This window comes from Homo sapiens, chromosome 9 (assembly GCF_000001405.40).
Source record: "Homo sapiens chromosome 9, GRCh38.p14 Primary Assembly".
Taxonomy (NCBI): Eukaryota; Metazoa; Chordata; class Mammalia; order Primates; family Hominidae; genus Homo; species Homo sapiens.
The window spans coordinates 36,564,505-36,591,504 of record NC_000009.12 but is presented as its reverse complement, the minus strand read 5'-3'; the positions used below and the strand labels follow the sequence as shown (position 1 = coordinate 36,591,504).

Below are 27,000 nucleotides of genomic sequence, written 5' to 3'. Positions count from 1 at the left end.
CCTCCCAGGCTCAAGTGATCCTCCTACCTCAGCCTCCCAGGTAGCTGGGACTATAGGCATGCACCACCACAACTGGCTAAGTTTTTGTATTTTTTGTAGAAATGCGGTTTTCCCATGTTGCCCAGGCTAGTCTTGAACTCCTGGCCTCAAATAATCCACCAGCCTTGGCCTCCCAAAGTGCTGCAGTTACAAGCGTGACCCCCTGCGCCTGGCCCTAAGAATTTTATTTGAACAAAGGGATCACCTAAAAATATAAAGAGGTTTTAAAATTACCAAAGAGGTTTTAAAATCAAAGAGGTTTTAAAATGTGGACCATGTAGGTAGATCTACAGTGTAGTAATACAATGTACTACTATACAATAGCTCTAGATCCAAAACATTCAACGTTATAATTTTTTTGTTTTTATTTTTTAGAGACAGGGGTTTGTTCTGTCACCCAGGCTGGAGTACAGTGCCATTAACGTGGCTCACTGCAGCTTCAAACTCCTGGACTCAAGCAATTCTCCCGCCTCAGCCTCCTGAGGAGCTGGAATGACAGGTGCGCACCACGCGCCATCACACCCGGCTTTTTTTTTTCTTTTTTCTTTTGTATGTAGAGACAGGGTCTTGCTATGTTACTGAGGCTGGTTTTAAACCACTGGTTTCAAATGATCCTCCCGCCTCAGCCTCCCAAAGTGCTGGGATTATAGGCATGAGAGGACCCGGCCAAAATTATGATTTTTAAAATATGCTTTTAAAACAGTGCTATCCTGTGAAAATCATGTGCAAATTACATATTATTTGGCTGAGACTAACGAAAACTAAAGAAGTTGAATAATACAAGTTCTAAAGACATCTTTCAAGACAAAAATGGCAAGTTAAAACTTGAAATTGCTTGGTTTACATAAAAGACACTGGAAGCTACCCAGTGCTGGGGGTTGAACTGTCACTGGATCAGGGTAAGCCTAAACCTTGGGTCCTTTTAAGAAGAGAGACATTTGGACAGAGACACAGCTACACAGAGAGGAAAACACCATTTGAAGACGGAGGCCAAGATGGGAGTGGTGCATCTATAAACCAAGGAGTGCCAAGGACTGCCAGCAACTACCAACAACTAGCAAAGAGGCAGGAAACAGATTCCCTCTCAGAACCTCCAGAAGGAACCAGCCTTGCCAACATTTTGATTTCAGACTTCAAACCTCCAGAACTGTCAGACAATGAGTTTCTGTTGCTTTAAGCCACCAAGTCTGTAGTAATTTGTTCCAACAGCCCTAGGAAATTAATATACCATATAAAACTAGAATGAGGCTGGGCACGGTGGCTCACGTCTGTAATCCCAGCACTCTGGGAGGCCGAGGAGGGCAGATCACAAGGTCAGGAGATTGAGACCATCCTGGCTAACACGTGAAACCCCGTCTCTACTAAAAATATAAAAAATTAGCCGGGCATGGTGGTGGGCGCCTGTAGTCCCAGCTACTCAGGAGGCTGAGGCAGGAGAATGGCGTGAACTCGGGAGGTGGAGGGTGCAGTGAGCAGAGATGGCATCACTGCACTTCAGCCTGAGCGACAGAGCGAAATTCCGTCTCAAAAAAAAAAAAAAAAAAACTAGAATGAGTCCTTCCCTCTAGGAGAAAATTCTAACATATTCTATCTAGTAAACCATACTACCCCATTAGGGGTGTATTAGAAAAATGACATTTACATTGAATCTCCAACTTATTATATACATCTATTTAATCTAAATTGTTACAAATGGAACAAAACAGGTAAGTCGCTTAACATCTCTTCTAATCTTTCAGGTGAAATGTACTTTTCTCTTTTACTATTGATAAAGTGATCAAATGTTTTCAGGTATCTGGAACATACTACTAACCTCAAGAACCATGAATATTTTGTTGGCTGTCTCTAGCACATGGTAGAGTTGACATATATGCTGATGTCTCAGGTTCTTCAAGGCCTCAATCTCCGTTTTGATCCGGGGCAAATCACTCTGTGACAAAACATCATATGGAATGAGCAATAAACTTATTCAGGTGGTGTTCCAAGCTCCAATACTAACAGCTTTAATACTAAGTAGCTGGCCGGGCACGGTGGCTCACACCTGTAATCCCGCACTTTGGGAGGCCGAGGCGGGCGGATCATGAGGTCAGGAAATCGAGACCATCCTGGCTAACACGATGAAACCCTGTCTCACTAAAACTACAAAAAAATTAGCCGGGCGTGGTGGCAGGAGCCTGTAGTCCCAGCTACTCAGCAGGCTGAGGCAGGAGAATGGCGTGAATCCGGGAGGCGGAGCTTGGAGTGAGCCGAGATTGCGCCACTGCACTCCCGCCTGGGCAACAGAGCAAGACTCTGTTTCAAAAAAAAAAAATACTAAGTAGCAAAAGCTATCAAAAAGCCCCCCAAAAACTGTTCAACACTACAGAAAAATATAGCAAAATTTATTTGCATGTGCATAAAAAGGGCATTGGAGATTTTATGAAAGACAGGTTCAATGTGGGTCAACAGTACAACATCCAGAAAACAATCTCAGACTCCTTAGAAGGTTAGCATTCCAAACAAGGAAAATGACAGAAACACTACTCAGTCATCATGCCTGAGCTACCACTTTCAGCCTCAGCAACACCGTTTAAGAAGCATGCTGAGCAAAAAACCAGTGAACTTAGGTGAAAGGTATATGGGTATTCACTGTCTCAGTCTCCAATCTTTTCTGAGGTCTTGAAACTTTCAAAATAAAAAGTTGGGTGGGGAGAGGAAGATAAGCCAAGCTGAAAAAACTTTAAAGGACAGAAGCCTAGAGATATCATCAAGTAACAAGTAAAACTTCATTATAAAAAGGGACCCTGAGGCAGGGCGCAGTGGATCACGCGTATAATCCCAGCACTTTGGGAGGCTAAGGTGGGCGGACTACCTGAGGTTGGGACTTTGAGACCAGCCTGACCAACATGGAGAAACCCCATCTCTACTAAAAATATAAAATTAGCCAGGCATGGTGCCGCATGGCTGTAATCCCAGCTACTCGGGAGGCTGAGGCAGGAGAATTGCTTGAACCCAGGAGGTGGAGGTTGCGGTGAGCCGAGATCATGCCACTGCACTCCAGCCTGGGCAACAAGAGCGAAACTCCGTCTCAAAAAAAAAAAAAAGGGAGGGACTCTGGGCCAGGCGCGGTGGCTCATGCCTGTAATCCCAGCACTTTGGGAGGCCAAGGTGGGCAGATCAACTGAGGTCAGGAGTTCAGGACCATCCTGGCCAACATGGAGAAAGCCCGTCTCTACTAAAAACACAAAATTAAAAATACAAAATTAGCCGGGCATGGTGGCGCATGTCTGTAATCCCAGCTACTCTGGAGGCTGAGGCAGGAGAATTGCTTGAACCCTGGAGGTGGAAGTTGCGGTGAGCCGAGATCGATCCAGCCTGGGAAACAAGAGCAAAACTCCATCTCAAAAAAAAAAGGACTCTGATTGGGTGTGGTGGCTCACACCTGTAATTGCAGCACTTTTGAGAGGCTGAGGCGGGCAGATCGCGAGGTCAGGAGTTCAAGATCAGCCTGGCCAACATGGTGAAAACCCATCTCTAATAAAAACACACACGAAAAAATTAGCCAGGCATGGTGGCGGGTGCCTGTAATCCCAGCTACTTGAAAGGCTGAAGCAAGGAGAATCACTTGAACCTGGGAGTGGCCGAGATCGTGCCACTGCACTCCAGCCTGGGGACACAGCGAGACTCTGTATCGAAAAAATTAAAAAAAAAAAAAATACAAAATTAGCTGGGCGTGGTGGCACATGCCTGTAATCCCAGCTACTCAGGAGGCTGAGGCAGGAGAATCGCTTGAACCCAGGAGGCGGAGGTTGCCATTGCACTCCAGCCTGGGCAACAAGAGCGAAACTCCGTATCAGAAAAAAAAAGGCGGGGGGGCTCTACAGTGGCTCATGCCTGTAATCCCAGCACTTTGGGAGGCCGAGGCAGGCGGATCACGAGGTCAGGAGTTCAAGACAAGCCTGGCCAAAATGGTAAAATCCCGTCTCTACTAAAAATACAAAAATTAGCCAGGCATGGTGGCAGGCACCTGTAATCCCAACTACATGGGAGGCTGAGGCAGGAGAATTGCTCGAACCCAGGAGGCAGAGGTTGCAGTGAGCTGAGATCACACCCCTGCACTCCAGCCTGGGTGACAAAGCAAGACTCCATCTTGAAAAACAAATAAAATAAAAAGGGACTCCGTCTTAATGGCCAGTGTCTCAGGACCCAGTTATCCAGGACTATGCAACTAGATATCATGTCTTGACAAAGAATCAACTGTAACTTTCACTATCTTGGTATGATAATCTTCTTTCTTTGTGGGGAGGAAGCCTGATGACTAAAACCATGGAAGTAATCGGCCAGGCGTGGTGGCTCACACCTGTAATCCCAGCACTTTGAGAGGCTGAGGCAGACGGACCAAGAGGTCAGGAGATCGAGACCATCCTGGCTAACACGGTGAAAACCCGTCTCTACTAAAAATACAAAAAAATTAGCTGGGCGTGGTGGTCCCAGCTACTCTGGAGGCTGAGGCAGGAGAATGGCGTGAACCTGGGAGGCAGAGCTTGCAGTGAGCCGAGATCGTGCCACTGCACTCCAGCCTGGGTGACAGAGCAAGACTCCATCTCAAAAATAAATAAATAAATAAATAAAACCATGGAAGTAATCAAAATATTATTAAAATCCTAGAAAATAACTAAAATGAGCATAATAACAACAGAAAATATAAAAACAAGTTTAGAAATCATGAATTAATGTCATATTACGCTTTAGAATAAGTTTTGAGCATCAGTGTGATAACACATTTTGTAATAACATTTTGTTTGCTATTTAAGTATTTGAAGTGTTAAAGTAAGTCATACTAAAGTTATAACTGAAATTTAAACTGCTTAAGGGAATTAATCTAATTGATACTCATGTTTAAATGCTCAAGAAAAATGGTTTTAATGCTTTTTTCTTAGATTAATAAATAGAAAACAAAAAATTGAATAAAACAAAAAAACTGGAGGAAAGCCTGAATTGTCCACTGACAGATAATTAAAAATAATTTCTTATACTGGTCATTGTATGATTTTAGCATATATTTAGGAAGAAATTCAAATGATTTAATGACATTGCTGTAACAAAACTACTTACATACTCTTTGACTTTTTTTTTTTTTTTCTGGAGACAGGGTCTTGTTCTGTCATCCAGTCTGGAGTGCAGCGGCACCATCTCGGCTCACTGCAGCCCAACCTCCCAGACTCAAGTGATCTTCCCACCTCAGCCCCGCAAGTAGCTGGGACTACAGGTGTGTACCACCATGTCCAGCGAAATTTTTTGTATTTTTCGTAGAGAAGGGCTTTCACCTTGTTGCCCAGGCTGGTCTCAAACTCCTGAGCTCAGGCAATCCACCCACCTTGTTCTCCCAAAGTTCTGGGATTACAGGTGTGAGCCACAGTGCCTGGCTCCCTTTGACTTATTTATGTGTTAATCAGAACTTATATCTTTAACAATTAAAAAAGTAGGTAACAATTAATATTAAGCCCTATCTCATTCCAACAATAAAAACATCAAAAAAAAACTTTTTTTAGACAAGATCTTGCTCTGTTGCCCAGGCTAGAGTGCAGTGGTGCAATCACAGCTCACTGTAGCCTCAACCTCCTAGGCTCAAGGGACCCTCCCACCACCACCTCCCAAGTAGCTGGGACTACAGGCATGCACAACCACACCTGGCTAAATTTTTTTTATTTTTTGTAGGGACAAGACTTGCCATATTGCCCAGGCTAGTCTCGAACTCCTGGCCTCAAGCAATCCTCTGGCCTCAGCTTCCCAAAGTGCTGGAATTACAGGGATGAGCCACCACACCCAACCAAAAATTATTTTTTATGTTTGATAATTAAGGACAATTACAAAATGTTAGGCTGGGAGTGGTAGCTCACACCTGTAATCCCAGCACTTTAGGAGGCCGAGGTGGGTGCATCACTTGAGGTCAGGAGTTCGAGACCAGCCTGACCAACATGATGAAATCCTGTCTCTACTGAAAATACAAAAATTAGCTGGACATGGTGGCACACGCCTGTAGTACCAGCTACTCAGGTGGCTGAGGCAGGAGAATCATTTGAACCCAGGAGGCAGAGGTCGCAGTGAGCCGAGATCGCACCACTGCATTCCAGCCTGGTGACAGAGCAAGACTCCATCTCAAAAAAAAAAAAAAAAAAAAAAACAAAGAATGGTAGAAGGAATTAGAAAAAAAAGATGACTCAAGGTGACTTCAAACACTGGAATGGGTACAGAAGCCCCAGAAAAACCACCAAAAGAGACAGGCTTTATCTCAACATAAAAATAACTTTTTATACATTGTAGCCAAGACCACAAACTGAATGGGCTGCTTTAGGAGATAACAAGCTGTTCCCCCTGGAAGAATTCACATAGAGGAAAAAGAGGCTGATTTGGAAAAGGATTTAATTAGATAACTTCTAAAGCCATTTTGAATAAAATGCTGGGACAGGCCAAGTACAGTGGCTCACCCCTACATACCCTGTACTTTGGGAAGCTGAGATGGGAAGACTGCTTGAGGCCAGGAGTTTGAGACCACCCTGGGCAACAGAGTAAGACCTTGTTTCTAGAAAAATGTTTAAAAATTAGGCAAGCATAGTGGCATGTGCCTCTGGTCACACCCACTCAGGAGGCTGAGGTGGGAGGATCACTTAAGCCCAGCAGGTACAGGCTGCAGTGAGCTGTGATTGTGCAACTGCACTCCAGCCTGGGCAACAAAGTGAGACTGTCTCAAAAAAAAAAAAAAAAAAGCTAGGACATAATATTTATCTATTTGCCTATCTATAGTACCAAAATGATTTATATTTAGTAAGAGTATCATAAGAAAATAAAGATGGGGCCGGGCGCGGTGCCTCACGCCTGTAATCCCAGCACTTTGGGAGGTCGAGGCACGCGGTTCACGAGGTCTGGAGATCGAGACCATCCTGGCTAACATAGTGAAATCCCATCCCTACTAAAAAAAAAAAAAAAAAAAATACAAAAAAATTAGCCAGGCATGGTGGCGGGCACCTGTAGTCCCAGCTACTCAGGAGGCTGAGGCAGGAGAATGGCGTGAACCTGGGAGGCGGAGGTCGCCGTGAGCCAAGATCGCGCCACTGCACTCCAGCCTGTGCGACAGAGCAAAACTCCGTCTCAAAAAAAAAAAAAAGTAAAGAAAAGAAAAGAGGCCGGGCGCGGTGGCTCACGACTGTAATCCCAGCACTTTGGGAGGCCGAGGCGGGCAGATCACGGGGTCAGGAGATTGAGACCATCCTGGCTAACACGATGAAACCCCGTCTCTACTAAAAATACAAAAAATTAGCCGGGCGTAGTGGCGGGCGCCTGTAGTCCCAGCAACTCGGGAGGCTGAGGCAGGAGAATGGCGTGAACCCGGGAGGCGGAGCTTGCAGTGAGCCGAGATCGCGCCACTGTACTCCAGCCTGGGCGACAGAGCGAGACTCCGTCTCAAAAAAAAATAAAAAATAATAAAGAAAAGAAAAGAAAGATGGGACACATTAATATCCAGAAACACCTACAGACTACAGACTGCAGATGGATGCTACAGACTTCAAATATGTCCCACTGCACTGCGTTAAAATCTGAAGAACAAAGTAATCCCTTCCCCCAGATTACTTTTTAAAACCACAGATCTATACGTTTTTTAAAAGGTATAAAAATATTATTCTAAGAGCAGTAACTAGAACATTAGAACAATTCAGGTTTTAATTCACGAAACTGATCTATAAGTGGACTATTTTTTAAATAAATCTAAACTTACCCCTAGTGTGTTTTTATCCATGATTTTTATAGCTACCATCTCTCCAGTAAGGATATGGCAGGCAAGTTTGACCTTTGCAAAGCCACCTAAGTAGGAAAATGTATTATGAAAGCATAAGCAAGGACTCAGGCACAAACACCTTTTTATATATAATAATTTTAAAAGACTCTATCAAGCCAAATTTTCCTAGAAGTTTGTGGCTTTTTTTTCCTGTTGCTGCTTGTTATCCAATGTCTAGCTGAAGGTTTTTTTTTTTTTAACCATGATAGTGTATCTCAAACTTTGTAATAAAAAAAAAACAGAACTCACTTTAGAAATCTGCTTTATGAATAATCCTGCAATTAAATTTCCTTTATAATTAACACTGCTAGAACACAATATAAAGTTGCTGAGGCCAAAGACAAATTATATGAAACTTCCACTCAGTTTTAAATATTTGAGGCCGGGCGCGGTGGCTCACGCCTGTAATCCCAGCACTTTGGGAGACCGAGGCGGGCGGATCACAAGGTCAGGAGATCGAGACCATCCTGGCTAACACAGTGAAACTCCGTCTCTACTAAAAATGCAAAAAATTAGCCTGGCATGGTGGCGGGCACCTGTAGTCCCAGCTACTCGGGAGGCTGAGGCAGGAGAATGGCATGAACCCAGGAGGTGGAGCTTGCAGTGACCCGAGATCGCACCACTGCACTCCAGCCTGGGCGACAGAGCAAGACTCCATCTCCAAAAAAAAAAAAAAACTTTGAAGATAAGCAATTATTTTTCAAAACTGAACCAAAAGCTGGACAAATGTCTCCACTCAGGCAGCTAAAAGAAATCCCCAAATTAACATTTCCAAAAAGAACTTCCTAGTAGTCTCTCCCATGGTCTTCTTCCTTTCAACAAAGGGCAACTCCATTTTCCCTGGTGCTCAGGCCAAAAACCCTGGAACCATCCTTAGCCCTTCTCTTTCTCTAGCACTCCAACCCATCAATAAATCCCATTAGCTCTGTCCTCAAAATATATCAATGGCTACCTTGGGGGAAAGCAGGCAGATACTCCCTGGAAACGGTCTATGTCTTGATCCGCACAGGGAATATATGGGTATGTGTATACATATATATGTGTAAAACTCCACTGAGATTATTGCACTTTGCATATTTTACTATATGTTATACCTTAATAAAAACATACACACATAGGTGTGTACATATGTGTGTGTAAAATGTCCCACCCCTTTCACTGCTTTTACATCACCCTCATCCACACCACCATCATCTCTAGCATCAACACCTGAATTATCGCAATAGTCTGCTAACATCTCCCTGCCTCTGCTCTTGCCCTCCTTCATCCAACCTTTTATCTACCAAGCAGCCACAGCAACTCTGTAAAAACAAAGGTCAAATTACCCCTTAACTCAAAACTCTCCAATGACTTTAATTTAGAATAAAAGTCAAGAAATAAAAGAAGCCTGGGCGCGGTGGCTCATGCCTGTAATCCCAGCACTTTGGGAGGCCGAGGCGGGTGGATCACGAGGTCAGGAGATCGAGACCATCCTGATTAACACGGTGAAACCCCGTCTCTACTAAAAATACAAAAAATTAGCCAGGCATGGCGAGCGCCTGTAGTCCCAGCTACTTGGGAGGCTGAGGCAGGAGAATGGCGTGAACCCGGGAGGCAGAGCTTGCAGTGAGCCAAGATCGCGCCACTGCACTCCATCCAGCCTGGGCGACAGAGTGAGACTCCGTCTCAAAAAAAAAAAGAAATAAAAGAAATATTTAGAATAAATTATTTAGAATAAAAGTCAAAGTCCTTGCAATAACCTACAGGGCTTCTCCTACTATTCTCCTCTCTGCTTGCTCCACTTTTTCTTACTGAAGTAGGTAGAAGAATTTTAAAACTGTGTGGGTTAGACGAAAAAGCTCACACCTACCCAAATAATCTATACTCTCAAATAGTTGATCTATCCACTGCCTCCAAAAAAAAATAACAATTACCTGTCCCAATAGTTTCATGTAATTCATAATATTTGAGAAGTTCATCATAATCTTTCATAGTCCTCTTGCAAGTTTATTTGGAATTAGAAAAAGAACCTAGAAGACAGAGAGTACATAATCAATAAAGGAAATAATACCGGATCATCTCCTCCATTCTTGTAACTGCAAATCTAAATAAGTCTTATGCATTTACATGATACTGAAAAAACTGATTATTGGCCATATGAAAAAAAGGATTCTTATCTCACACCATACATAAAAATGAATTCCAGATAGACTTAAAAAGTATGAAACATAAACCTTTAAAACTTTTTAAAGAATATTGTCATTATTTCAGGATAGGAGAGGATCACTTAAATAAAGTACTAATAATAATAATGAAAAAAATTAATATATTAAACAACATTAAAATTAAGAACTTCAGCTGGGCACAGTGGTGCGTGTGTTGTCAGCCACTTGGGAGGACAGCTTGAGCCCAGGAGTTCGAGGCCAGCCTGGGCAACATAGCAAGACCACATCTATAAAAAAAATAAAAATAAAACTAAGCACTTCTATACAACCAAAGACACCATCAAAAAAAGAAAACCATAAATGTGAGAAGATACTTGCAACAAATATAATAGTGGATGTACACAGGAAACACATAAACTCTGACAAAACAATAAGAAAAACTCAACAGCAAAATAAGCAAATGATACAAAAAACTTTTCTCAGCCGGGCATGGTGGCTTACGCCTGTAATCCCAGCACTTTGGGAGGCCAAGGCAGGCAGATCACGAGATCATGAGTTCGAGACCAGCCTGGCCAACATGGTGAAACCCCATCTCTACTAAAGATACAAAACATTAGCCAAGCGGGGTGGCATTCACCTGTAATCCCAGCTACTTGGGAGGCTGATGCAGGAGAATCGCTTGAACCCGGGAGGTGGAGGTTGCAGTGAGCCGACATCGTGCCATTGCACTCTAGCCTGGGCGAAACAGCCAGACTTTGTCTCAAAAAAAAAAAAAAAAATTTCTCAAAGAAACACAAATGGCCAACAAAAACATGGAAAAGGGTGTCTCTGAGCCTACTCTGGCTCGGGAGGCTACCTGAAGAAAAAATAATTTAAAAAAAAAAGACACGAAGCTGGGCAAGGTGGCTCACACCTGTAATCCCAGCACTTTGGGAGGCTGAGGAGGGTAGATCACCTGAGGTCAGGGTTCGAGACCAGCCTGACCAACATGACGAAACCCGTCTCTACTAAAAATACACAAATTAGCCAGGCATGGTGGCAGGAGCCTGTAATCCCAGCTACTTGGGAGGGTGAGACAGGAGAATCACTTGAACCTGGGAGGCGGAGGTTGCAGTAAGCTGAGATTGTGCCATTGCACTCCAGCCCGGGCAACAAGAGTGAAACTCCGTCTCAAAAAAAAAGGCCGGGTGCGGTGGCTCACGCCTGTAACCCCCACACTTTGGGAGGCCGAGGCGGGTGGATCACAAGGTCAGGAAATGGAGACCATTGTGGCTAACATCATAAAACCCTGTCTCTGCTAAAGCTATAAAAAATTAGCCAGGGGTGGTGGCACGCGCCTGTAGTTCCACCTACTTGGGAGGCTGAGGCAGGAGGCAGAGGTTGCAGTGAGCCGAGATCACGCCACTGCACTCCAGCCTGGGCAACGGAGCGAGATTCTGTCTCAAAATAAAAAAAAAAAAAAAAAAAAAAGAAGACATGAAAAAATTATCAGTAGTCATCAGGAAAACCCAAACTAAGACCCCAGTCATACACAATTTTATTATGTATATGATATGTATTTTATTATTATGCTTCACAACTTATGTGGGTTACATATACTGTTAATTATACATCAAATAATAAATAAAAATTAGTTGTAAAAAAAATTAGGTAGATCTTATTGATTTTGTCTCCCTGAGTTTTAAAATTAAGTAGTTTATTTTTTAAAAACCATAGAGCTAAGTAGGGCCCTGTTATGCACATTAATATACAAAGTCACACTCATACCATCTCCATCTTACTTGTGGAAAATAACCTCGTGGTTGACTTTTAGAGATCAGCAGTGTGTCTGGAAAAACTGCTAATGCAGTTCTAGAAAACTCTTGAATTTGCTCTTATTCATTTATTCATACAGATATTTACTGAGCACCTATGATATGCCAAACCTGCCCTTGGCACTAGGGCTATAATGGAGAAGAAATATGATTCTGCCCTCATGGAGTGTATATTCTAGTGGAGAAGACAAAAGGCAAATAAGTAGACAACAAATTAATACTTATAATTTATAGGCCGGGTGCAGAGGCTCACGCCTATAATCCCAGCACTTTGGGAGGCCAGGGTGGGCGGATCACGAGGTCAGGAGTTCGGGACCAGCCTGGCCAACATAGTAAAACCCGGTCTCTACTAAAAAATATAAAAATTAGGCTGGGCGCGGTGGCTCATGCCTGTAATCCCAGCACTTTGGGAGGCCAAGACGGGCAGATCACCTGAGGTCGGGAGTTCGAGACCAGCCTGACCAACATGGTGAAACCCCGTCTCTACTAAAAATACAAAATTAGCCAGGTGTGGTGCCACATGCCTCTAATCCCAGCTACTCGGGAGGCTGAGGCAGGAGAACTGCTTGAACCCAGGAGACGGAGGTTGCAGTGAGCCGAGATCGTGCCACTGCACTCCAGCCTGGGCAACAAGAGCGAAATTCCATCTCACAAAAATAAATAAATAAATAAATATATAAATAAATTAGCCAGGCCTTGTGGTGTGCGCCTGCAATCCCAGCTACTCGGGAGGCTGAGGCAGGAGAATTGCTTGAACCCAGGAGGCAGAGGTTGCAGTGAGCCAAGATCGTGCCACTGCACTCCAGCCTGGGAGACAAAGCAAGATTCTGTCTCAAAAAATAATAATTACTATTATTATTATCTATACTAAATACTGAAATAAAAATAAGCAACAGTGGTTTCTGAGAAGGTAACATTTAAGCCAAGCTCTAATTCAAAGGATGAGAATTGAGAAAATCAGCCCTGCCAGTAATCAGACTGTGATATTCCTATCAAAACTTGAACAATGGTTTCAATAGAATCTGAACATAACCATATAAACAATGTTTCCATACAAGGCTGTTAAAATAAAGATCCTTTATTTGACTGACTTCATTGTCTTCAATGACATCCTCAGGCCCACCTCATTCTTCCCTCATTCTGCCCCTTTCAACTCACTCTGAGACTACCCAAAATTCTCAAGAGTATGGTTTCTCTTGCGCAGCAAACTAAATACATCTAATGATTTTTACTACAGATGTGGTCTTTGGTCTGTAGGCCTTAACAGTCATAGCCCACAAAGAAATAGACGGAGAATATTCCAGAAAGAGGGAATTTAGGTGCAAAGATCCTAGAGGAAGTAAAAGTTGACAGGTACTGAACTGAGGCTGCTTTTAGAGGTAACAGGTGATGGAAATGCAGCTCTGGAGCTGGGACAATTGATTAGCCATGAGGTGAAGGAAAAAAAAAAACACATTGGATCTCTATCTCACACCATACAAAATCAGTAACAGTTGTAAAGACTTAAAAGCAAAAGACAAATATTTGAAATGTTGAAAACATAGATAGCTAAGGTCTTCCCCATACCAAACCTACAGCTAGGAGTGGCAAAAGGAAGAAGCGTAAAGATAGCTGGGCATGGTGGCTCATGTCTGTAATCCCAGCAATTTGGGAGGTCAAGGCAGGAGGATTGCTTGAGGCCTGGAGTTCAAGACAAGCCAGGACAATATAGCAAGACCTTGTCTCTACTAAAAATAAAAAACAGCCAGGCGCAGTGGCTCACACTTGTAATCCCGGCACTTTGGGAGGCTGAGGCAGGCGGATCACCTGAGGTCGGGAGTTCAAGACCAGCCTGACCAACATGGAGAAACCCCGTCTCTACTAAAAATATAAAAAATTAGCCAGGCGTGGTGGCCCATGCCTGTAATCCCAGCTACTAGGGAGGCTGAGGCAGGAGAATCACTTGAACCCGGGAAGCAGAGGTTGCGGTGAGCCGAGATCATGCCACTGCACTCCAGCCTGGGTAACAAGCGAAGCTGTGTCTCAAAAAAATAAATAAAAATTAAAAATTAAAATCTAGTCGAGGCCAGGTGCAGTGGCTCACGCCTGTAATCCCAGCACTTTGGCAGGCTGAGGTGGGTGGATCACTTGAGGCCAGGAGTCACATGCCACCACTCCTGGCTAGTTTGTTTGTTTGTTTGAGATGGAGTCTTGCTCTGGTGCCCAGGCTGCAGTGCAGTAGTGCGATCTCAGCTCACTGCAACCTGCGCCTCCCAGGTTCAAGCTATTTTCCTGCCTCAGCCTCCCAAGTAGCTGGGACTACAGGCGAACAACAACACCATACCCGGCTAATTTTTGTATTTTTAGTAGGGATGGGGTTTCGCCATGTTGGCCAGGCTGGTCTCAGACTCCTGACCTCAGGTGATCCACCCTCCTTGGCCTCCCAAAGTGCTGGGATTACAGGCGTGAGCCATCGCCCTGGCCAAGCAAGCCTGTTTAAGCCTCAAACTGATGAGTGGCAGGTGCCACGTAAACTACCTTCAAATTCTCTGTTCTTCACCCTGCCCTTATCCAGAACTGAGTGACTAGCATGTTACTAAGCCTTAATAATGGCCATGAATTTGGAAGACCTAGAGTGTGAGTTCAACCTCAGAAGTGTGGTGAGCTTATAAAGGAAGACAGAGCTTAATAAGAGAAGGCCCTTCATACAATGATGAGTAGTCTTCTTAAAATTGAGGTGGAAAAAATTCTGAATGAACTTATCAAAACCCCAAAAGCCACAAAGGACATTTTAAAAATATCATTTTTCTATGCCTGAAACACTGATTCCATGAATCATTTTACTTGGAGAGAAAAAGAAAATTATTATCAGCAAGTAAAAAACGGCTGGGCACAATGGCTCCCGCCTGTAATCCTAGCACTTTGGTAGGCCAAGGCAGGTGGATCACCTGAGGTCAGGAGTTCGAGACCAGCCTGACCAACATGCAGAAACCCCGTCTCTACTAAAAATACAAAAATTAGCCGGGCGTGGTGATGCACACCTGTAATCCCAGCTGCTAGGGAGGCTGAGGAAGGAGAATCGCTTGAACCCAGGAGGTGGAGGTTGCAGTGACCCGCGATCACGCCACTGCACTCTGGCCTGCACGACAGGAGTGAGACTCCAGCTCAAAAACAAACAAAAAAAATTTGGTCAATGAATAGAAAACTAGAGCAGAAGCTTTAGAAGGAAAAATATCGACACTCAAGAAAAAAATTAAATCAGCTTTAAAAAACAAGGTTCAGTCTTCAACATCAAAGCAGAAATAGCACACAAAAAGATAACATGCAAAACGACATTCTGATAAAATAAACAATATTAAGCCATTTCCTAGGAAGAGATCACACTGGACCCAACTTAATAAGTAGGTTGAACATTTAACCTAACGAAATCTGCATGAACACAGTAGGCAAACATTAGAAGAAGCAAGGTCAGGTCCCAGTACTGAGGGAAAACTGTTGATAGAAAATGAAACATTCTGCTTCCACTGGAGTAGAAAAAGTTACTCAAGGCAAGGAGATATCACAGAGGACAAATTTATTCTCACTGGGCACCTGAAGGCACAGGATTAAATACTTTAAACAGCAACACTAATTCAGAAATATTTTAAAGGGCATTTGTCAGTGGGGCAAATGTGGGGATAAACTGGAACCTCATCCTAAAAACAAACAGGAACCATAGGACTAAGAAATTCCAAAAGGCAATAAAAACAGTAAAAGTATAGAGGTCAACCTAAGGCTCAGAAATCTTTGGAATCCTGATACAGAAGAAAAAAGAGAGCAGGAGAATGGAAATGGAGGAACACTGGACTATAAATCTGAATGCACATGTTTACATTCCATGCAAAGGACTGGGCTATTTCAAATTGTCACTCAGAAAGAGAAAGCAATTTGTAAGATGCTGGAATTCACTTCCCAGATTAGGGATTTAAGAGTGTCATAATTAACTTAATAGACTTCTCCCAAAAGAGTTATAAACATCCCAGTCATGGCCTCTGGAAAACTAGCAGAGATGGGCAAGTTGTTTATTTAACAACTAAGGTAAGACTGAAGCCATGCACTTTTTTTTTTCTTTCTTTCTTCCATTTTCTCTATCTACCCGCTTCTCTCAAATTACATCATGTCTTTGGATGAGTAATACCAATGTGGGCCTAGATTATAGCTACTGAATCAAGGGAATATCGTTGTTGCTGCAATGTGAGAAAACTGGTGCTTACATTACAAACTCCTACACTAATAGCAGATTATACTTGATTTGTAAATCTTTGTGAATGTGGAGCTGGTTCTAAATATTCTCATGTGCCCTGTTTATCCTCTAGAGTTTGTTAATATAGAATACAGAAAAGCCTTGAGAACAGAGTAACCCAACTTTGTAGCTGCTGAAGGAGGTATATTATCAGTCAACGCGGAAGACAGCCTCTCAACTGTGAATAATGAAGAAGGAAATTAGACCCCAATCAGACACCTGAGTGCCCTTCTGGGCTTGACTAAATAAATAGAAGAATTGGGGGTATATATAATTGGGTTTTGTTTTTGTTTTTGTTTTTGAGACGGAGTCTTGCTCTCTTGCCCAGGCTGGAGTGCAGTGGCGTAATCTCGGCTCACTGCAACCTCCGCCCTCTGAGTTCAAGCAATTCTGCCTCAGCCTCCCAAGTAGCTGGGATTACAGGTGTGCGCCACCACGCCCGGCTAATTTTTTGTATTTTTAGTAAAGATGGGGTTTCACCATCTTGGCCAGGCTGGTCTTGAACTCCTGACCTCACAATCCATCTGCCTCGGCCTCCCAAAGTGCTGGGATTACAGGCGTGAGCCACCGCGCCCGGCCTATAATTGGGGTCTTTAACTTCTCAGAAGAGCAAGGAATTGGGATAATGAGAAGACGTTTATGGTTAAATTTTAAAGGATAGCAACAAATTGGGGGCATTTTTTAACAATATTATTTGGGCTATTCTATTACTTGCCGCATAAATACATTTACCTTATCTACAGAGCTTGGAAAGACACTGATGCTGAGGATAATTTCAAACAGGAAGTAGAATACAGAATGGTTTTTTGGGTTTTGTCTGTTTATTTGCTTGAGACAGGGTCTCGTTCTGTCACCTAGGCTGGAGTGCAGTAGCTAGATCTCGGCTCACCGCAACCTCCGCCTCCTGGGTTCCAGAGATGCTCGTGCCTCAGCCTCCCCAGTTGCTGGGATTACAGGCATGCGCCACCATGCCCGGTTAATTTTTTTTTTTTTTTTTTTTTTTGTATTTTTAGTAGAGACGGGGTTTCGCCATGTTGGCCAGGCTGGTCTAGAACTCCTGGCCTCAAGTGATCCGCCCACCTCGGCCTCCCCAAGTGCTGGGATTACAAGCGTGAGCCACCACGCCGGGCTCAGAATGGTTTATAATGTGGCCTGTAACACATTTAATTAGCATCCTGCCCTGCTCCCTTGCAAAGGCTTCTGGGAGCACCAACAATGAGGCACTCATTGGGATTGATCTGCCCATCTAGTTGGTCCACAGTAGTTACACAGAAAGGACAGACCCTTGGGAGAAACAAGCCCACGAAGGCCCAGTAAGGGCTTTTCTGATTTTTCTGATTTTCTAGCCAGACTCCATGGGAAACAGAAACCAAAATTTAAACCAAAGTTAGGAACACTGGCCTCTAAACAACAATCCAGGCTCCTGATACTCACCTCATTCCACTAACAAAGGAGAAATACCAAAGGTAATTACCCGTCCTAAGTGCTAGGGACCTGATTCCTCTCTTGGGCAGCCTTCCCTGAGTCTACCCTTTCCAGCTCCCACAACCCTACACCAGGTTTCTTGGTGGGAGCAATCCTGCTGCTCCTATTACTGATACAGCATTCGGTGAAAATTCCCCTTTTAGGCCGGGCGTGGTGGCTCACGCCTGTAATCCCAGCACTCTGGGAGGCCAAGGCGGGCGGATCACCTGAGGACACGAGCTGGAGACCAGCCTGGCCAACGTGGTGAAACCCCGTCTCTACTAAAAATACAAAAAATGAGCCGGGCGTGGTGGCGGATGTCTGTAAGCTCAGCTACTCGGGAGGCTGAGGCAGAAGAATCGCTTGAACTTGGGAGGCGGAGGTTGCGGTGAGCCGAGATCGCGCCATTGCACTCCAGCCTGGGCAACAAGAGCGAAACTCCGTCTTGAAGAAAAAGAAAAAAAATTCCCCTTTTAGTGTGAGCCTCTGAAGCCACTACTCTGGGGAGATGATAGGAGAGGATGGATTTGGACTCTGAAAAGGTAGTGATAACACATCTCCTTTTTTATTGCACTGCCCCAGTAAACTGAGTTGTACAAACAGAAAAAACTCGAAACCCTTCTGTCAACTTTTTTCGCGGGGAAGAGTCACGGAAACTGGAAACGGGAAATGGGAATTCACGTCTATCGCAGCCTCCTAGGTGGCAAACGCTTAGCCTGAACACCTCTTCAATAACCCTGTTAAGTAGACACGGTCATTATCCCCACTTACGGAGAAGAAAACCGCGGGTCGGAAAGGTCAAATATCTTATCCAGGGAACAGGGCTGGTAAAGCGCGGGGCTCCGATGAAATCCTCCAGTCTCCCGAGAGCCAGGAGCAAACTGGGTTTGGGCCGCTGCGCCCCGCACAGCCCAGACCCCAGCCATCAACTGCGACTGCGGCGGGCAGGCGGGAGAACTGACCTGAGGGGCGGAGGGCACGGCTGAGCGGCGCCCGACAGAAGGACAGGGGCCTGCTGTCCTGAGAGACGCGGCTGGTACGGCGTTCCTAAGAATCTTTTCGATCGCCGGGTTGTGGCCGCTTCCGCCCGCCAAGGGAATCAAATCTCCCGGGCCGGAAGGGGCGGGGACGCGGCGGGGGCGCGCGCGGCGCCGGATCCCAGGGAAGCGGACGCGCACGGCAGGCGGGGGCGCGCACAGTGCCGGGGGGTTCTCACCGGGGCAACGGCTCGCGGTCGCTGTGGAGCCGTGAAAGGGATGGCCGGGAGGTCCACTGGGCTGCGAGGGGTGACTTGAGGCCTTGGTCTTGCCCCGGAGGGCACGTGATGATTTTCCAGGTGGCGTGGATATGCCAAGTCTCCACAGAACCCAACTTTCTTACGTTCTCTTCCTAAAATTGACGTGCCCTCTGGCAGTCACAGTTCTCATTTTCGTCCTCCCTTGCCCACTGGCCGTTCTCCCACCCAGCAAAGACAGGAATACCTCCCCCTCTCCAAAATGTGTTGCCACGAGGAATAAGAACCCCAGTAGCTGAGACTACAGGCACGCGCCACCACGCCTGGCTAAATTATTTGTGGGTAGAGACGGGATCTCGCTATGTTGGCCAGGCTGGTCTCGAACTCCTGGGCTCAAGCGATCCTCCCGCCTCAGCCTCCCAAAGTGCTGGGATTACAGGCGTGAGCCACTGTATCCGGCCCAGAAAATCTTTAGACAAATTAAACTTTACAGAGTTGAATTGACCAAAGAATGAGTCCAAAATCCAGTAATCCCTGGAACCAAAATAGGTTCAGAGTGATTCGGGCTGCCATATGTTCAAATAACATTTATGGACAGAAAAAGGAAAATGACTTACAGAAATTGCAGTCAAGTATGGAAACAGCTGGATTGGTTGCAACTCAACCTCTGACTATTTTGAGCACTGTTTAAACAGTTGGCCACCTGTGATTGGCCAAAACTCCGCTGCTGTGATTGACTGAGACTCGCTACTTGTTACAAGGTTACAGTCTCTTTACACATTTACAATTGTAGTTGTCTACAATTCACTATGTATGGAGAAACTGTTAGGCCAGGTGCAAAGGCTCACATCTATAATCCCAGCACTTTGGTGGGGGGGCGGGGGCAGATCATTTGGGGTCAGGAGTTCGAGACCAGCCTGACCAACATGATGAAACCCTGTCTCTACTAAAAATACAAAAAATTAGCCGGGCTTGGTGGCGCGAGCCTATAATCCCAGCTACTCAGGAGGTAGAGGCAGGAGAATCTCTTGATTCTCTCTGCTGGGAGGCAGAGGTTGCAGTGAGTAGAGATCGTGCCACTGCACTCCAGGCTGGGCAACAGAGCAAGACTCCGTCTCAAAAAAAGAGAAAGAGAGAAAGAGAGAGAGAAAAGAAAGAAAGGAAGAGAAGGGGAAGGGAAGGGGAAGGGAGGGGAAGGGAGGGGAAGGGAAGGGAAGGGAAAGGAAAGGAAGGGAGAGAAAGGGAGAGAGAGAAAGAAATAAATTGTTAGTCTGAACTTAAAATGCATAAGGAGGCAGCTTTATGCTAAACTTAATTTAACATGGTCATCTGAATCTTCAGCAAATCATAATCTTTTTGCTGGTGGAGGGTCTTGCCTCCATGCTGCTGATTGATCAGGGTGGTGGTTGCTAAACGTTGGGATGGCTGTGGCAATTTCCTAAAATAAAACAACAATGCTGCATCGATGGACACTTCCTTTCATGAAAGATTTCTCTGTAGCATGTGATGCTGTGTGATACCATTTCATCCACAGCAGGACTTCCTTCAAAGTTAGTTCTCTGAAATCTTGCCACTGCCTTATCAACAAAGTTTATGGAATATTCTAAATCTTTTGTTGTTATTTCAGCAATGATCACAGCATCTTCACCAAGAGGAGCTTCCATCTCAAGAAAGCACTCTCTCTTTGCTCATCCGTAAGAAGAAACTCCCCATCTATTCAAGTTGGATCATGAGATTGCAGCAGTTCAGTCACATATTCAGGCTTCACTTCCAATTCTAGTTCTCTTGCTGTTTCCACCAAATCTGCAGTTACTTCCACGAGTGAAGTCTTGAACCCCTCAAAGTCATCCATGAGGGTTGGAATTAATTTCTTCCCAACTCCTGTTAATGTTGATATGGTGACCTCTTCCCATTAATCATAAATGTTCTTTTTTTTTTTTTTGGAGATGGAGTCTCACTCTGTCACCCAGGCTGGAGTGCAGTGGCGTGGTCTCGGCTCACTGCAAGCTCCGCCTCCTGGGTTCACGCCATTCTCCTGCCTCAGCCTCCTGAGTAGCTGGGACTACAGGCGCCCACCACCATGCCCGGCTAATTTTTTTGTATTTTTAGTAGAGATGGGGTTTCACCATGTTAGCCAGGATGGTCTTGATCTCCTGACCTCATGATCCGCCTGCCTTGGCCTCCCAAAGTGCTGGGATTACAGGCGTGAGCCACCGTGCCCGGCCATAAATGTTCTTAATGACATCTAGAAGAGTTAATTCTTTCCAGAAGGCTTCCATTTTACTTTGCCCAGATCCAGCATAAAATCACTATCTATGGCATCTGTAACCTCACAAAATGTATTTTGTAAATAAAATGACTTGACAGTCAAAATCATTCCTTGATCTATGGCCTACAGAATGGATGTTATGTTAGCAGACATCCAAACAACATTCATTTCCTTGTACATCTCCATCAGAGCTCGTGGGTGACTAGGGGCATTATCAATGAGCATTAATATTTTGAAAGGAATCTTTTTTTCTTAGAAGTAGGTCTCAAAAGTGGGCTTAAGGTATGCAGTAAACCTTAGCCAGCTGTGGCGGCATATGCTGGTAATACCAGCTCTTCAGGAGACTGAGGCAGGAGGATCACTGGAGCCCAAGAGTTCGAGGTTACTGTAAGCTATAATTACGTCACCGCATTCCAGCATGGGTGGCAGAGTGAGACCCTGCCTCAAAAAAACAAACAAACAAACAAAAAAGATATTCAGTAAACCCTAGTATAAACAGTTATACTGTCATCTAGGCTTTGTTGTTCCATTTATAGAGCATAGGCAGAGTAGATTCAGCATAATTCATAAGGGCTCCGGGATTTTCAGACTGGCAAATGCACACTGGCTTCAACTCCAAGTCACCAGCTGCGTTAGCTCCTAACAAGAGAGTCAACCTGTCCTTTGAAGATTTGAAGCTAGGCATTGACTTCTTCTCTTTAGCTAAGAAAGTTCTAGATGGCTCCTCTTCCAACCTAGAACTATTTCCTCTACATTGAAAATTTGTTATTCAGTGGAGCCACCTGCATCAATGATCTTAGCCAAATCTTCTGTATAACTTGCTGCAGCTTCTACATCCGCACTTGCTGCTTCACTGCGCACGTTTATATTACAGAGACAACTTTTTTTCTTTTTTTGAGACGGAGTTTCGCTCTTGTTGCCCAGGCTGGAGTGCAATGGCGCCATCTCGGCTCGCCGCAAACTCGCCGCAAACTCGCCCTCCCAGGTTCAAGTGATTCTCCTGCCTCAGCCTCCCAAGTAGCTGGGATTACAGGCATGCACCACCACGCCCAGCTAATTTTGTATTTTTAGTAGAGACGATGTTTCTCCATGTTGGTTGGGCTGGTCTCAAACTCCTGACCTCAGTTGATCTGCCCGCCTCGGCCTCCCAAAGTGCTGGGAGTACAGGCGTGAGCCACTGCACCCAGCCTACAGCTTCTTACCTTAAATCTCATGAACCGACCTCTGCTAGCTTCCAAATTTTCTTCTGCAGTTTCCTCACCTCTCCTAGCCTTCACAGAATTGAGGAGAATTGTGGCCTTGCTTTGGATTAGGCTTTGGCTCAAGGAATTTTGTGTCTGGTTTGATCTTCTATCCAGACTACTATCTATCAGCAGTAAGGCTGTTTCGCATTCTTATCACTCATGTGTTCAGTGGAGTAGCACTTTTAATTTTCTTCAAGAACTTTTCCTTTGCATTCACAATTTGGCTAATTATTTGGCACAAGAGGCCTCCCTTTCAGCCTATCAGCTTTGGACATGCCTTCCTCACTAAGCTTAATCATTTCTAGATTTTTATTTCAAGTGACAGATGTGTGACTCTTCCTTTCACTTGAACACTTAGAGGCCATTGTAGGGTTATTAATTGGCTTAATTTCAACATTGTTGTGTCTCAGGGAATAGGAACGCCTGAGGAGAGGGAAAGAGACGGGGAACAATCAGCCAGTGAAGCAGTCAGAACACACACAATATTTATCAATTAAGTTTGCAGTCTAATTACGGGTATAGTTCATGGTACCCTAAAACAGTTACAAGAAGAGCATCAAGATCTCTGGTCCGCTGTGCAGGCTCACGCCTGTAATCCCAGCACTTTGGGAGACAGAGGTGGGCGGATCACGAGGTTAGGCGTCAAGACCAGCCTGACCAACACGGTGAAACCCCATCTCTACTAAAAATACAAAATTAGCCAGGCATGGTGGCGCATGCCTGTAATCCTAGCTACTTGGGAAGCTGAGGCAGGAGAATCACTTGAACCCAGGAGGCAGAAGTTGCGGTGACCCAAGATCGCGCCATTGCACTCCAGCCTGGACAAAAAGAGCAAAACTCCATCTCAAAAGAAAAAAAAAAATGGCCTGACTGGGTAGGTCAGGCCATTTGGGATGTAACATCCTTTTTTTTTTTTTTTTCCTTTTTTCGAGATGGAGTCTTGCTCTGTCACCCAGGCTGGAGTGCTGTGGGCTCACTGCAACGTCCGCCTCCCCAGTTCAAGTGATTCTTCTGCCTCAGCCTCCCAAGTAGGTGGGACTAAAGGCGTGCGCCACCATGCGGCTAATTTTTGTATTTTTAGTAGGGATAGGGTTTCACCATATTGGCCAGGCTGGTCTAGAACTTCTGACCTCGTGATCTGCCCATCTCAGCCTCCCAAAGTGCTGGGATTACAGGCATGAGCCACCATGCCTGGCCGGGATGTAACTTCTTAACATCTCTTTGTTTTTTTTGTTTTGTTTTGTTTTGTTTTTGAGATGGAGTCTCACTGTGTCACCCAGGCTGGAGTGCAGTGGCACAATGTTGGCTCACTGCAACCTCCACCACCTGGGTTTAAGCGATTTACCTGCCTCAGCCTCCCAAGTAGCTGGGACTACAGGCACGCACCACCACGCCCGGCTAATTTTTTGTATTCTTAGTAGAGATGAGGTTTCACCATGTTAGCGAGGCTTGTTTTGAACTCCTGACCTCAGGTGATCCACCCACCTCGGCCTCCCAAAGTGCTGGGATTACAGTGTGCCACAGCACCTGGCCGAATGTAACATCTCTACCAAGAATAACACCATTAGCAGCAATAATAAAACCCACAACAGTCTTTTAAATGATTTATGTGCTACATCCATGCATCATCTCTATACTCAAAAGCCTGCCCCTCTCTCACAGGGTAATTTGTGCTATTCATTCTTTCATCAGTCACCCATGTCTACCCTGTGCCAGGCCCTGTTCAGGGCAATACCAGAGAAATGAAGAAATGAGACATGGTTTCTGCCCAAGGGAGCTCACAGACAGAGGAACCAGACCCATAGACAGGCCCATACTACAGTTGGCTAACACTAATGAAGGACCCCATAGAAGTGCTAAATACAAGTGCAGGTAGCTATCTTGTTTCCAGCTCAGAGGGAAGTGATTGAAATATTTTCTACTGGAGCCAGGCCTTGAAAATAATAGAAAAATCCAACGGGGGAAGAAGAGCATTCCCCAGGCAGGGGAAAATATGTGTGCAGAAGCAGGGGGCGAGAAAACACAAGTCACCGTGGAGAAAGGCCAGTTGGGTGGAGCACAGGATGGAAAAAGGCAGGAGAGGAAGAGCTGGTAAGCAGGGGACCCAGTGAGAGAGCCTTGTGTGCCAGGCTAGAGCTGGGAGGTGTGCTGACCAGGAAAAGAATGGATTTACATTTCAGAGAAAGCCAGAGCAGACGCTGGGCCACCATAGGAGTGTGCCAGGCCTGCCAAAGCAGGGTGAGAGCTGTGCTTCTCTGTTGGCAGAGTGAATGCCACGAGTCTCAGTGCCATGTGTGGCTGAGTCATCAGTGGAACGGGAGAAAAAGGCTGGCGTCCAGTCTCTGAAGGCGCCTCTCAGTGCAAAGCCCTTTGCCTTCTGTGGGCCTGCAGGTTAGCCAGCCTCGGGCAACAAGCCATGCACAGATTTTACATCCAATCCAAGGGCAAGTGGGAAGCCATAGAAAATTAGGGTTTTGGTCACAGTCCTGCTAGAAAAGGAAATAGTTTTAAAAAGCTATTACAAATACTTTAGGGATTTGAATTCAGAAACTACTTCAGGAATTTGTTAAATTTTGTAATTATGATAACTGAACTGTTGTTAGGTGGTTATATAAGAGAAAGTCCGGGCTGGGAGTGGTGGCTCACGCCTGTTAATCTCAACACTTTGGGAGGCCGAGGTGGGTGGATCACCAGAGGTCAGGAGTTCATGACCACCTTGACCAACATAGTGAAACCCCATCTCTACTAAAAATACAAAAATTAGCTGGATGTGGCGGCACACGCCTGTAGTCCCAGCTACTCGGGAGGCTGAGACACGAGAATTGCTTGAACCCAGGAGGCGGAGGTTTCAGTGAGCCGAGATCGTGTCACTGCACTCTAGCCTGGTGACAGAGCAAAACTCTGTCTCAAAAAAAGAAAAAAAAAAAATCAAGACTGGGCGAGATGGTTCACGCCTGTAATCCCCTGTAATCCCAGCACTTTGGGAGGCCGAGATGGGCTGATCACGAGGTCAGGAGATCAAGACCATCCTGGCTAACACGGTGAAACCCCGTCTCTACTAAAAATACAAAAAATTAGCCGGGCGTGGTAGTGGGTGCCTGTAGTCCTAGCTACTCAGGAAGCTGAGGCAGGAGAATGTCATGAACCTGGGAGGCAGAGCTTGCAGTGAGCTGAGACCGCGCCACTGTACTCCAGCCTGGGCAACAGAGCGAGACTCCATCTCAAAAAAAAAAAAAAACTTAGCCGGGCGTGGTGGCATGTGTGACTGTAATCCCAACTACTGGGGAGGCAGAGGCGGGAGAATTGCTTGAACTGGGGAGGCGGAGAGCCACTGCATTCCAGCCTGGGCAACAGAGCAAGACTCCACCTCAAAAAAAAAAAATTATATGAAAATAAAAAGTAAGCAAGGTATAGTGTAGTCCCAGCTACTTGGGAGGCTGAGGTAGGGGAATCGCTTGAGCCTGGGAGGCAGAGGTTACAGTAAGCTGAAATGGCACCAGTGCACTCCAGCCTGAGCAACAGAGCAAGATACTGTCTCAGAAAAAAAAAAAAAAAGTAACAAAACATTTCAGGAATCTTAACTCTGTTTATCCCTTAGTACCCACCACAGAATCTTAACATTACTATAATAAACAATGATTTATTTCTTAAGTTTCCTTCTCTGCTAGACACTAGATTACAGGGTTGTAAATACATTATTTCTAATCCTGTAAAATAATTATTTCTATTCCCATTTTACAGATGAGGAAACTAAGGCCGAAGGACATGAGGTATTAGCCAGATATGGTGGTGTACACCTGTGGTCCCAGCTATTCAGGAGACTGAGGTGGAAGCATTACTTGAGCCCAGGAGTTCAAGGCTGCAGTGAGCTAAGATCATGCCACTGCACCATAGCCCAGGTGACAGACAGAGCAAGACCCCACCTCTAATTTTTTTTTTTTTCTTTTTTGAGATGGAGTTTCACTCTTGTTGCCCAGGCTGGAGTGCAATGGCATGATCTCAGCTCACTGTAACCTCTGCCTACCAGGTTCAAGAGATTCTCCTGCCTCAGCCTCCCTAGTAGCTGGGATTACAGGCATGTGCCACCACGCCTGGCTAATTTTGTATTTTTAGTAGAGACGGGGTTTCTCCATGTTGGTCAGGCTGGTCTCGAACTCCCATCCTCAGGTGATCCTCCCACCTCGGCCTCCCAAAGTGCTGGGATCGCAGGCATGAGCCACTGTGCCCAGCCCCCCATCTCTAAATTAAAGTAAAAAATAAATAAAAATAAAAGATGGTTAGGTATCTAGTAAGAAGCAGAGCCAGGGATCCAAAGCCAAGGCTTTTTCCACTGCAGTTCTTAGTGTTCGCTGAATTAAATATAGGAGTTAGAATAATTAAAGTTTAAGGTACCGGCCAGGTGTGGTGGCTCACGCCTGTAATCCTAGCACTTTGGGAGGCGAAGGCGGGTGGACTGCCTGAGCTCAGGAGTTCAAGACCAGCCTGGGCAATATGGTGAAACACTTTCTCTACTAAAATACAAAAAATTAGCCAGGCATGGTGGCACACGCTTGTCATCCCAGCTACTCAGGAGGCTGAGGCATGAGAATTGCTTGAACCCAGGAGGTTGGAGGTTGCAGTGAGCCGAGATGGCACCTCCACACTCTAGCCTGGGCAACAGAGGAAGACCACAAAAAAAAAAAAGTTTTAGGACAGGCTTGGTGGCTCATGTCTATAAT

General features: G+C 45.2%; 1 protein-coding gene across 53 annotated transcripts in view, besides 3 other annotated features; it reads right to left on the bottom strand.

Annotated features, from left to right (window-relative positions):
• The window catches only part of MELK (maternal embryonic leucine zipper kinase), a 104,788-nt gene extending 86,178 nt beyond the window's left edge, over positions 1-18,610 (bottom strand). For 9 of the 53 annotated variants that reach the window (NM_014791.4, NM_001256685.2, XM_011518080.1 and 6 more), the window contains exons 1-4: positions 18,498-18,610; positions 9,766-9,861; positions 7,793-7,878; positions 1,853-1,969 (exon numbers count right to left, since the gene is read on the bottom strand). In NM_014791.4, coding sequence (NP_055606.1) covers positions 1,853-1,969; positions 7,793-7,878; positions 9,766-9,823 — 261 coding nt within the window. In that variant the 5' untranslated portion in view covers positions 9,824-9,861; positions 18,498-18,610. Of the gene's footprint in view, positions 1-1,852; positions 1,970-7,792; positions 7,879-9,765; positions 9,862-10,633; positions 11,433-18,306 lie in introns of all 53 variants that reach the window. The other 44 variants (NR_046337.2, NM_001256689.2, XM_047424181.1 and 41 more) reach the window with 8 other exon arrangements.
• Positions 5,705-6,681: an enhancer, noted in NCBI's record as "H3K4me1 hESC enhancer chr9:36584821-36585797 (GRCh37/hg19 assembly coordinates)". NCBI's record gives its function as "activates a minimal SCP1, AML or CMV promoter by ChIP-STARR-seq in naive H9 embryonic stem cells {active_cell/tissue: H9 hESC(naive)}" and the evidence as "EXISTENCE:reporter gene assay evidence [ECO:0000049][PMID:30033119]".
• Positions 18,529-18,808: a silencer, noted in NCBI's record as "silent region_19896". NCBI's record gives its function as "represses an Ori minimal core promoter by ATAC-STARR-seq in GM12878 lymphoblastoid cells {active_cell/tissue: GM12878}" and the evidence as "EXISTENCE:reporter gene assay evidence [ECO:0000049][PMID:35858748]".
• Positions 19,392-19,891: an enhancer, noted in NCBI's record as "H3K4me1 hESC enhancer chr9:36571611-36572110 (GRCh37/hg19 assembly coordinates)". NCBI's record gives its function as "activates a minimal SCP1, AML or CMV promoter by ChIP-STARR-seq in naive H9 embryonic stem cells {active_cell/tissue: H9 hESC(naive)}" and the evidence as "EXISTENCE:reporter gene assay evidence [ECO:0000049][PMID:30033119]".